The sequence below is a fragment of the Homo sapiens genome, chromosome 5 (genome assembly GCF_000001405.40).
Source record: "Homo sapiens chromosome 5, GRCh38.p14 Primary Assembly".
Taxonomy (NCBI): Eukaryota; Metazoa; Chordata; class Mammalia; order Primates; family Hominidae; genus Homo; species Homo sapiens.
This window is the reverse complement of record NC_000005.10, coordinates 12,223,607-12,237,383: the sequence shown is the minus strand read 5'-3', so window position 1 is coordinate 12,237,383 and position 13,777 is coordinate 12,223,607.

Genomic DNA, 13,777 nt, shown 5'->3' with positions numbered 1-13,777 from the left:
CATGTATATACCATAGTTAATTCAATCAGACTACAGTGCATTTATGTAGTTTCTAATATTTCACAGCTAGCAATAATGTCACAATGAATAATCATTTGAACATATTTCTCCCCACCTTCTACTTTGATGTTAAATCTTAGAAATGAAGTTGCTACTGCAAAGGGCAAATTGGCAATGGACATTGATGAGATATCACACAATTCCTCTTCATAAGGCATACCATCTGGCACTAACACCAGCAATGAATGAGAAGGCAGGTATCTCCACGGCAATGCCAGCAGAGTTATGTTATCCAGCTTTTACAATTTTTTTCAATGTACAAAAGGAGCAATGCTATTTTTATGTATAGTTTCAACCTGCATTTTAATTATTATGACTGAAGTGACCATATTTCTTTACTTTGGTCAGATTCATTATTTGTTCTTGCGATCTTTCCATGTTTTTATGTGTTTTAAAAAATATATTGGGGGTATTAGCATTTTATCTACATGTTAGTATTTTACTGAAGGTCTTTTCAGCATTTAAAAGGAGAATGGCTTCTCTCCTTTGATTTAATCATTTAGAGAACTTTATCAATGATTTTCATAATGAACATGCTTACCTTTCTGAAATAAGCCTATTTATCTACAATGTACCCTGACTTTTTGCTTCATTTGCTATTTTATTTAGAAGTTTTGTGTTGATATTCATGTTTGGAATTAGTCTACAATTTTCTTGAAAATTTGTTTCCACTTCTAGTCATCTCACTTTCAGTTTATTACACATTAAAAAGAAACTATCTATTTATTCTATTTACCTCCATAGAGATGTTTAAAATAATATCTCAATTAAAAAAAATTTTTTTATTTAAATGGTTATTTCCTTATCATTTTCACATTTTGTTTTTGCTTTCTTTTTTCTTATTGGGTAGGTTAGTTAGTAGTTTAAATTTTCCTAATTATATAAAACACAAATTTTATTTAGTGATTAATTATATTGTTCTCTGATTCCTATCTAAATAATATTATAATTTTTATTTATTTTTTGGTATTATGTTTGCTTTCACATTTTTCTTTTCCTAGCTTTTCAAGTTAGAAATTTATTTAAACTAATTTAACTCTCTCATTTTTATTGAAATACATGCTTCTGACTATGAGTTTTTCTTTTTTCATAGTTTAAAATAAATCCTATAATTTGGATACATAGTGTTTTTAATTTTTTAAAATAATTTTAATTTTCATGTCCATATTCTCCAAAAATTTGTTAGAGAATTTTAAAATTTCCAGATGGAAGAACTTTTTTTGTCCTTAACTTATAATTTAACTGTGCTCTAAGAGCTTTATTTTATTCCACTATTTTTTTCCATGTAAACTATTACTTGATTTGTAAGTAATTGTTTTACATTTGAGAATATATTCTTTATTGAATAATATAAAATATAAATATATCCAAAAGATATACATTTCATATATAAGCTAAATTTTTGTGTTAGTCTGTTTTCACACTGCTATAAAGAAATATCAGAGACTGGGTAATTTATAAAGAAAAGAGGTTAAATGGACCCACAGTTCCACATGGCTGGTGAGACTTCAGGAAACTTACAATCATGTCAGAAGGAGAAGAGGGAGTGAAGACTTTCTTCACATGGTGACAGGAGAGAGACGAGTGTGTTAAGGAGGAACTGTCAAACTCATAAAGTCATCAGATCTTGTGAGACCTCACTCACTTTCACAAGAACAGCATGGGGGAAACCACCCCCATGATCCAATCACCTCCCACCAGGACCCCCTCCACACATGGGGATTATGAGGATTAGAATTTGAGATGAGATTTCCCTGGGGACACAGAGCCAAACCATATCAATTTTACAGCAAATTGATATATTACATATATCACAGAAAGCAATTATTAGTTATGTTGATTGTATCATACCCTTATTTCTTTATTTTGAATGTAGAGGCCATGTTAATATTTCTTATAATGTCAGGAACCACAACTTTAAATAAGTTGGCTTCTGTGCTACTTTTGCACAGATATCAATCATTTTATAGCTTCATTTTGATTATAATATTTAGCATAACACTCTTCTTCTTTGTCATATTTAATACTTTGTGTTCTGAATACTGATCTTTTTCCTGACATGAGGATTATAATTTCTGCCTTCCTATTATCTCCCTCAACTCCACTTTATTTTTTTTTAACCTATTCTCTAATTTTTAGCTTTCTGATTTCCTTCATTTTAGGGGTGTTTCTGGTGTATAGCATTTTTGGGGTTGTGTTTTGTAAGCCGATTTGAACATCTCTGTTTCTTAATAAATGAATGAAATCGGTTGGCATTTATTTACATAAATGATTTTATTGTTCTCACTCCATCAAATTATTTTGTTTGTGTGATTTTTTTCTCCATGCAGGCTTCAATTAATTCATTTAGTTATTTAGCTTTATTTTGAGTCATTACAGATGCTTGCATTTTTATGTTGTTTTCTCTATATGGACTAATGTGTTTTATAGTGCTTTCAATCCCTTTTTCTTATTATGCATCTAAAATTTGGTTTCAGTTTTATGTGACTTACTTGACTCCTACCTCTTAACTATGTGACAATGAGTAAGAATTACATTACTTTCTCTTTTTGTTTACCCTACACATTTTCAGTTTTTACATTGCAGTGTTTCTGTGTTGTTATATCACTTTTATATATTATTTTCCCACATTTGTTTTAGTATTATATCTGCAATTACATATATTCACTTCCCTCCATCAGTTCCTTTGAAAATTTCTCCCATCAACTCCTGATTGAATGAGCGAGGTCTCTTAGTGGAATTCTTGGCATCTTTCATGAGTTCATATTCCCTTAATTTGTGCACACTGAAAACTATTTTATAGACTTAAACTTTGAAGGACATCTTAGCAGGATATAAAAGTTTTCTTCAAAATTTTCCCTTGATCTTATTGAAAGAGCTGATTTCATTAGAGTGTAATGCCAACTTGATTTTCTTTCCATTGAGGAAAATGTGGTCTTTTTGTGTAGGGCCCTGATAATTTATTTCTATCTATTATTAACATCCAATAATTTTATAAATATATGTCTTGACTGTAAAACTCTGGACACATTTTTGAAGGTACTGGATAGTCTTCTAAAAATGTAGATTCTGGCTGAGTGCAGTGATTCATGCCTGTAATAGGACTTTGGAAGACTGAGATGGGAGGGTCACTTGAGAACACGAGTTGAAGACCAGCTTGGGAATATAGCAAGACCCCGTCTCTACAAAAAATTTTAAAAATTAGCTGGGGGTGGTGGCATAAGCTTGTAGTCCTAGCTACTTGGCAAGCTGAGGTAGGAGAATCCCTTGATCCCAGGAGTTCAAGGCTGCAGTAAGCTATGATCAAGTCACTGCACTCCATCCTGGGCGACAGAACAAGACAAAGAGCTTGTCTCAAAAATTTAAATTAAAAATAAAATAAAATGTAGATTCACATCTTTTGCTTCCCTAAGTAATTATTTGATTAAAGTATTAAATGTTGATGAAGCATTTTTTTCCTTCAAAGTTTCTTTTAAAATATAATGGATTTTTGAACTCATCTTCTACATAGAAAATTATCTTTCTGATACATTTTATATCATTTAAGATAATTTATTCCACTTATTTTTTTTTCAGTGACTTTATCACATTTTTGGTCAAATTTATTTCTCCTTTGGTTATTTTGTAATTTAGCACAATATAATGATTTGGCCTTCTTTTCCAATTTATGTCTTGGGTTGTTTAATTTTTCATTTCATTTCTTTTAATTTGCTTATTTATTTTGATTTTGTTCATATATGCTTCCAGTGGTTTTGTTTTTGTTTTTGTAGTAATGAATAAGTAATTTTATCATATCTGCAACTGCTTATTTAAAATTATGTAATTTGGTTTCAGAGATGGTAAAGTTTTTTTTCTTCTTTGTGATTTACATTTATGGAGAATTTTTATCATCTACTGTATTTTAATTTTCATATCCTATTTTCTTCTTATTGTAGACACTTATTTCCTATTTTTTTGTAATATCTTATTTTCTTGGATTAGATACAATTATTATATATGGATGAAGTGAATGTTTTGGAAAATTTACTTACAAGTTACATGACCACTGACCTGCTATCCTTCAGTCCTTGGTTTGAAATTATCAAAATTTTTTATATGACACAAAAAAATTTATATGACATAATATATTCCAGACATTAGTTTATTTAACTGTAAAAGATACGAAGCAGACAAAAGAACACACAACCAAAAGCAGATGCCTCAGAAGCTCTTGAAAAATATCAGGTATAAGCTCTAAACTCTGTCCTCCACCAACAACCACATGGGATGCCACTGATGGCAAGAGATGATTTCAAGCTACACCTTCCATTCTTTAGCCTCATATTATAGCCACCAAGGTATCAATTTTGTCATAGTTAATAATTCTGATATCTAGATACCAGTTAACGTAACTTAATTATTTTAACTAAATACATTCAGGTGGCAGTATTGCAACTAGATAAACTGAAAGACATGTACATGCTCTGCCACAAATTTGACACAAGATTTAGGGAGTCAACATTTTCCTAAAGAAGCTTACAACTCCATAATCCAATCATAATAATGGAAGTTTTATAAGCTAAAATTAATTACTGAGAATGCAAAACCATGGAATATTATTTCAAAATATTATCCAGCAACTATATTTCTCTATTTTATTACAGTTTTTAAAAATGGCATACATCCATTTATAATTAAAATTAATTTTTAACCAAATATAAATTATTTTAAAATATAAATGGGCATACATCTGTCACATTATGATGATATTGGATAAATAATATCACTCTTTGATACCTTTTATAATATTCAGGTTTATTTTTATGTTTTCCTCCAAAATTTTAGTAATATTATTACTTAATATTTGCCTATGGTTAGAGAAGGTATATAGGAAACATCTAACACAGTTCTTTGACTTCTAGGACAGTGAACTCCTATGTCACTAATCTCTGTCAAGGGACTGATTTTAATCTCTAGTGTCTATGATTGAATCCTGATTCCCCAGGCAGGTGACTGGGGCATAGAAGCTGCTCACCAATTATTTTTGGAAAGTTGAATAAATATTTGAATGTAATCACAAGAGGTGTATGCACCATCATTTTTTTTTCCATTTTATTGAAAAGACTGTTGACCTTGCCTGTATCTATATACAATACCTGAGTTGGATTAATAACTATTTTACCTTTATAATATTCTTAGGTGATGACATAAAGGAGGTTTAACACAGACACCCTTATCATTGGAGACAAACTGAAAGGAAGTTTAACGTCCTTAACTAGGTAATACTCATGTAACACCTAATATGAATCTAGGCAATCTCACCACCACAAATTAAGTGCACCATAGTAGAGAAAAAGCAATAAGAGAGTGAGTATAGACATTAATTAATGCAGGAAGCAGTGCCTATAAAAAAGTGTTCTTATTATCTAAAAGCTACACAGTAAATAAAAGAGCACCCAACACTGGTTACAAAGAGTCCAAGTGGAAAAAAAAAAACCCAACTAAAATGCAATTTAAGGTAACATTTTTGAGGGTCTGCAGATTAGGAATAGACATTTTTCCAGCTGAAAATTATATAAAAAGTAAAATGAAATCCTGTGACCTCACTTAGTGTATGCTGGGTTGGCACTGGGGGTTGCTGAAAACATTGCATCACAAGAGTGAGGCACAAATGAGATTGCCTCCAGAGTGGAGAGAGAAAATATTCTAATTAAGCTTGCAATGTCCTGTGATCTTTGTTATGGCTTTGGATGGCTTACACTTGGAAACACAAATCAGCTATAGACTTTCAAAAGCCAAGAAAAGTAAGAGTATCTGAGAATGACGATCTCAGCCAAGACATTAATTCTTCTTTCATAACAAGTCAAAGACACTCTCACACCCAGGATCTCAACCTTGCAATGCCCTTTTGTGATTGTCAAGTTTAAAGAAGTAGCTTTTGTTATACTGAATAAGCTTCACATGCAGAAGGAAGCTATGAAAATCTCTTGCGAGGCTGCTGGTGGAAAAGACCATGAGTTACAAGATACGAAATTTAACAATAAAGTAAATTATTCTGTTATATTTAGCCTGATAATTATGAAGTAGTGAAAAAAATGATTTTTAAGTATTAAAAATACATTATACATCAGTTTAGTGGATCAGCTATCGAATCATCTAAAATGAGAAAGAAAAATTCACAGAACATGTTTGATTTTATTTTTGGAAGTTTGCCACTTCGTCTTTCTTGAAATGTTTTTTCACTAAAGCTTTCAAGCCATGGAAAGGTTCTTCTTTACATACATACATTCCAATGTCAGTTTACCTTTCCCCTAAGGGTTACTTGTCTTGTACAAGTATAGAGGGGAGTAGCTTGTATCACAAGCAGTCCTTCTAACCTCTAATTCTTTCTATATGCTGTATCTCTCCCACCATTTTCTTTAGTCTGGGGTCTAAATCTCTGTGTTGACTTTTGACCACAGGGAAAGCAGTCACGTGGGCAAAAGCTCCGCCCGTCGCAACAATCTCAGCAGATGCGCTGGGGTGGTGACACAGGCAAAACTTCAACCCGGTATCCCACATTCGGTCTGGTGATAACTGAATTCAAATATTTCTGCGTGAATTAGGGTATATGGGAAGGGAAGGAAACGTTAAGAACAGAAAAATAACTTAAAATTGTAAAGGAAAATTATAAGGGATGGAGGGCAATAGCATTGCAAGGCAGGAAGGACATCTGTCTGACATGGGATTAAAGGGCCTATCTCCTGAGTTAGACCGTCCAGGCTTGACGACAGTCTGGGCCTTCCTAGCTGTGTAGTCTTAAGAAATTTGCTTACTACTCTGAGACTCAGTTTACTCATCTATAAAAGGGGAATCTTAATAGCACCAGAATCATAATGATCATGGAGTTATCGTGAGGGCTAAATTAAATGAATCATCTATAGCAAAATCTGACACATGAATAGTGATAAATAAATCTTAGCCAGCTTCAAATGTTTTCTCCAAGTAACAGCAACAAAAAGTTCACAAATTTATCTTACTTCTTTAAATAAACTGTTAGGGAGGACACAATTCTAATTATCTATTGAGTTATGTATGTCTTCGATTTATTTCCTTTTATCATCTACTATCAACAGTAGGAAAGTAGAGTTTTATTTTCATCATTTTACTAAAAATGGAAAACAAGCTCTGCAGAGTTAAGTGAATTTTCCAATGTTATAGATATTCAACTCTGACAGTAATTACTTAGCTATATAAATATATTTCTTTACTTTAGAGGTATTAACCTAATTGCTAATTACACACACACACACACACACACACACACACACACACACACACACACATAACAAGAGAAAAAATTATATCCACATGAATAACAAATAGTCTCTTAATTTCTAGTTCTCTATCATAATAATTAAAACATTGGTATTTATCATTTTTCTTTATTACATTTTTGCAGAATTTAACTTTTCTTCCTTTGTGTTATGTTGAACCATTTGAAATGACCATTTCTGATCATCTGTGACCTACAAAACAGCAATTTATTATGACTCAGACTAATACATAATATCAAGATTATGCAGAATTCCTCAAAATAAGACATCATAGTATGAAAAATTTCACCTACATTAGACTTCCCAGGGGGAAAGGATAAACAGAAATGTAATTTATCTTCATCTTTTCTCCCTCTTCCCTACCTACCTCAACACTGTATACGATGTGTAGATCAATTTTAAAGTTTGGGGATAAAATAAAAGGCATCCATCAGCATATATTAAAGGTCAAAATACACTGTATTACAAAATATTCACCAAACAGCAATAATGAAGCCCAATATATGAAAAATATTTTTGGCTTAAGAAATTCTCTGAAACATAATTTCTGGATTGATCTGTCAATTTCTTCAATCAACAAGAATCACCCACTAAAAATGCAAATGCTTTCTAATGTATAGAGTTTTGTGTAGAGTTCAGCAAGTGAAGACTCCTTGCACGACTTAAGTTCAAGCTAAAAACGTGGTGGGGTCACATGATGACCACACTGCCCTGAACACAGGTAAGCAAAAGGAAAAACCTTTCTTGGAGAATTGTTACCAGCTATTCAGACCACATGGGAAGTGCAAATTCTGTAATTCAACATGAGGAGAAAAATCATGAGATCTGTTGTAAAAGAGTAGAGAAATTAGCAACACTGAACTCAAAATGCCTCTGAAAAATATAAGCCTCCAAATGTGAAATTTTATCCCTTGCAGTTATAAATACTACAGAAAACAACTGACATATAGTTGAAGAAGTCAGAGAGAGAAGGTTGCCATAGTAGCCAAAAGAATCACACAAAAAAAATGGGCAGGTGAATTCAGAAAAGTAGCAAATTGGAATGATTGTTACTAGGTTTTCCATTTGCCCGAATTTCTCACTCCATAAATGCTGTTTGTAGACAGTCCTCAACTTGCTAAATGACCTGTATCTAGAAAATAGATATATTTTCTCATTCCCAGATGGAGAGCTCACATTTCTTTGCTAAGACACCAACCCAAATTGAACCTGGAGGAAGGAAGATGGGGAAATATACAAGGCACTGAAAAGCATAAATAACTTGAAAGAGTAGATGGCAATATGATAATTCACCTAATATAACATGTCATACATTTTACAAGGTCACATTCTTTGATGTAGCATTAAGAAGAAAAAAATAACAAACTATGACATGCTGTTTTCCTATGATTGATTTTTCAATGGAATACTTAGTAGCCATTGAAATTATAAGGTAGAAATATTTGTGTTGGCACTTAAAATTGCCCCTTATTTAAAGAAAAATGTAAAACACTAAAGAATATTTAGCATGGTCTTGTGTATGTTATACACATAATTGCCAAAGTCTGAGCATTGTAAATAATAAAATAACACTTGTTATTTCTAGAGGATAAACAACAGAATACATTTTAGGGCATTTAAAATTTTTACAGTAAGCAAGAATTGTATATACTCAGCAAAAGCACAGATTACAATTCTGTTTTCAAAGCAGAAAGAGCATGAATTAAAACTTTAAAAAACCACATTCTGGTCAAATCATAAAAAGCATATGTTGTCGATTCCCCTGACTTAACAATGAAAAGACTTTGCTGTGCCATTTAACCAATTTTCTCATGTAAGGATCTAATTTAACTATAAAATAGTGGAAGAGTATATAAAATATCTTTGCAAAAAATGTATTAATTTTATGAACAATCACACAGTTTAGATATCTGTGTTTCTCAAAGAATTCTATATCCAATTAATAGCCACAGGCACAGATCAATGAAGACAAAAAGTGATTTTCAAGTAAAATTGGCCATATTGAGAAACTAATAGCTCTATAATAGATGTGTCCATTTTCTCCTCTTGAGTATATATTCCAAATTACCACGTAAATCACTTATTTAAGAATTATGTATTCTCTTTTCAGACATCCATCTAGAGTACTCACTGTGTCCCCAAATATTCATTCTGTATTTATCTGTTTATATTGTAGTGCTGTATATTTGATTAAAACAAGTGACTTTCTGCTTGAAATTAAATAAGGAACTTTATTTATATTTGTTTAATGTTGGAAAAAAAATCACCTGCAAGCTGAAGAGAAAAAGAAGCTTTACCTGAAATTATCAACCACTCATTTTTTTTAAGCACCTCTGAGACCCTAATTGCTAGAGTTAGCCATTCAGATGCATCTATCACAGGCTTGGACATCAAGACAATGCAAGCTTGAAGAAAGCCAAGCAATTATCACTTGGAGCAAAACGTCCTCTAATGTGAAGAGCACAGTACAGTGAAACCCTTTGGAAAAGTTCCCAGAAATGGCTAGGGTTGGATGGATGAAAGTCAGAGAGATAATTTTCTAAGGGCATTCAAACTGCTTAAAATATACTCTCATTCATAATCATAGCCATCCAAACAAAAATGAGATATTTCTCTTTTATATAAAAAGTATTTAATAGAGAATAAAATTGCCTCAAATGAATGTTATTGCCTATTCATACAGAGTGGGTTGACAGTCTTCAGAGTAAAAACTATTCTAGAACTACATATTTTCATTTGACCATCACAAAGGGGAAAAGGAGATTAAGAGGGAACTTGGAATGATTGAATGCAAAGTAGACACAAGAAGCAATATAGAAACAAACCTATAGCAATTTCATTAATCTATATCCAGACACAATGAATTGATCTTAGGTCCCTGTTCTCTTTGTTTTTGTTGTATTTTGAGAGGGAGTCAGGGTCAGCAAGCCCATTGACACAGGTTCTACATCATTTGAGGCTGCCTCAGGAACTAAGATTGTTTTAAGCATGTTGCCACATAGGAGGAGGTAGATATCAGTCCCATCAGCATTAAGGAGCCAGGGAAAGCAATTGAGACTAACAGCAATCGAATAAATATAAATTAAATACCTATTCTATATTTCTATCCTTTTTGTTTTTTTTAATGGAAATATTTGTATATATATGAAAAAGAGGCACTGAAGAAGACACGAAAGAAAGTCTTCAATTGCCAACCCCACCAGTTCCCTGGGAGTAGCTGTGTGGCATGCAGAGAGAATCTGTATGCTTGAGGGAGGGAGAGCACAGTGATTGTGAGACTTTGCATTGGTACTTAGTGCTGCCTGTCACAGTGGAAAAAACACCAGGAAGAACTCAGCTGAGAACCAAAGTGTTCTGGAGTCCCAGATAATCTTGAGAGGCAGTCTAGAGAGCAAGAACTTTGATGCCTTGGCAAGTCCTAGTGCTGTATCAGACTGAGAGCCAGTCAACCTGGGGGGCACACAAACTAGTGATACAATAGCCGGGGAAGCCAAGGGAGTGCTTGCACCACCACTCCTACAACCCAAGGCAGCACAGCTCGCCGCTCCAGGCTAGACCCCTTTCCTCTGCTTAAGGAGAGGAGATGGAAGAGTAAAGAGGACTTGGTCTTGCAACTTAGATAGCCCTTTAGCCACAGTAGGATAGGACAACAGGCTGAGTCCTGGGGACTCCATTCCAGGCCATAGCTTGTGGATGATATTTCTAGACACACCCTGGGCCAAAATGTGATCTGTTGCCTTGGAGGGAAGAGCCTAGTCCTTGCAGGATTTATTACCTGCTGACTAAGGAGCAATTGGGCCATGAATAAGAAGCAGCAGTAGCCAGATGGTACTAATAAGGGCTTTGTGTGGGACTCAGATATGTGTTAGCTTTGGGTTGACCCAACACATTCCCAGCTATAGTAACTATGGGGAAAAACTCCTTCTGCTTGAGAAATGGAGAGGAAAGAGTAAAGAGAACTTGGTTTTGCAGTATAGGTACCAGCTTGGCCACAGTAGGATGGAGCACCAAACAGGCAATTGGAATCCCTGATTCCAGGTCTTGCCTCCTGGATAGTATTTCTGAACCTACCCTGGGCCAGAGGGGAGCCCACTTCCCTGAAGGGAGAGTCCTAGGTCTGGCGGCATTCGCCACAAGATGACCGAAGAGCCCTTGGGCCATGGGTGAACATCGGTCATCTCCAGGCAGTATTTGCCACAGGCCTGGGATGGTGGTGGACTCTTCTTGTGGAAAGGATATAGAAAACTGGGAAGGAGCTCCTTCTGTGGTTTCGTTGCCACATCAGCCACAATAGAATAGAAAATCAGGTAGACTCCAAAGGTTTCCAACTCCAGGCCCTGACTCCTGCATAGCATATCTGGATCTACCCAGGACCAGGGGGAGTTTACCACCCTGAAGAGGAGGACCCAAGCCTGGCTAGCTTCATTCACCATATGCTGACTGTAGAGCCCTAGGTTCTAGAACAAACATAGGTGGTAGACAGCAGTGGTTAATGCAGGCGTTGGTGAGAACCAGTGCTGTGCTGGCTTCAGGCCTAACCCAACATAGTCCCAGTGGCAGTGGCCACTGCAGTGTTTGTGTCATCCCTCCCCCAGCTCCAGGCAGCCCACTGCAGAGAGAAACTCCATTTGTTTGGGAGAAAGTAAGAGAAGAGAACAAGAGTCTCTGCCTGGTAATCCAGATAATTCTTCCATATCTTATCCAAGACCACCAAGGTGGTATCCCTATGAGTATGAAAGAGCCATAGCATTACTGGTCTTGGGGTTCCCCCTAATGTAGATATGGCTGTAATTACCAAAAGTTTATATCACAACTCCCAAATCCCTTCAAGCAGTTAAAAGCCTTCTCAAGAAGAACAAGTATAAAAAGCCCAGACATGAAGACTATGATAAATACCCAACTCTTCAATGCTCAGACATCAGTGAACATCCACAAGCACCAAAAACATCCAGGAAAACATGACCTCACCAAACAGGCCAAATAAGACACCAGGGACCAATCCTGGAGAAACAAAGATATGTAACCTTTCAGAGAATTCAAAATAACTGTTTTGACGAAACTCAATAAAATTCAAGATAGCACAGAGAAGAAATTTAGAATTCTATAAGATAAATTTAACAAAGAGATTAAAATAACTAAAAAGAATCAAGTATAAATTCTAGAGATGACAAATGCAAATGACATTCTAAAGAATGCATCAGAGTTATTTTAATGGCAGAATTGACAAAGGAAATAAATATTAGTAAATTTGAAGATAGGCTAATTGAAAATACACAGTCAGAGGAGAAAAAAGAAAAAAAAATTGTAAAATAATGAAACATATCTACAAAATCTAGAAAATAGCCCCAAAAGAGCAAATCTAAAAGTTATTGGCCTTAAAGAGGAGGTAGAGAAAGAGATATTGATAAAAAGTGCATTCAAAGGAATAATAACAGAGAAGTTCTCAAACCTAAAGAAAGAGATCAATATTTAGGCACAAGAAGTTTATAGAACACCAAGAAAAGTTAACTCAAATAAGACTATCTCAAGACATTTAATAAGTAAATTCCCAAAAGTCAAGAAAAAAGAAAGGATTCTAAAAGCAGCAAGAGAAAAGAAACAAATAACATACAATAGAGCTCTAGTATGTCCAGCAGCAGACTTCTCAGTGGAAACCTTAGAGTCCAGGAAAGAGGGGTACGGCATATTTAAAGTGATGAAGGAAATAAAAAGCCTTTCATCCTAGAATAATATATCCAGTGAAAATATCCTTGAAACATGAAAGAGAAATAAAGACTTCCCAGAGAAACAGAAGCTGAGGGATTTCATCAACACCAAATTTTTCTTACAAGAAATGCTATAAGGAGTTCTTTAATCTCAAGGAAAAGAATGTTAATGAGCAAAAAAATCATCTAAAGTTATAAAACTCACTGGTAGCAGTAAGCACATGAAAAACAGAATATTATTATACTGTAATTGTTATATATAAACTATTCATATCTTGAGTAGAAAGACTAAAAGATGAACATATCAAAAAATTACAACAACTTTTCAAGACATAGGCAATGTAATAAGATATAAATAAAAACCACAAAAAGTTAAAAAGCCAGGGATAAAGTGAGAGTTTTATTAGTTTTTTCTTTGTTTGTGTGGTAATTTGTTTGCTTATGCAATAAGTGTTAAAATAAGTTTAAAATAATGGGTTATAAAATATTATTTGCAAAAAAAATAAAATATTATTTGCAAGATTCATGGTAATATCAAATAAAAAACATACAGCAAATACACAAAAAATAAAAAGCAAGAAATTAAAACATACTACTAGAGAAAATGACCTTCACTACACAGAACAGAGGAAGGAAGGAATGAAGACAGACAACAAAATAACCAGTAAACAAATAGCAAACTGGTGTGAATAACTCATTACTTATTAATTATAACAT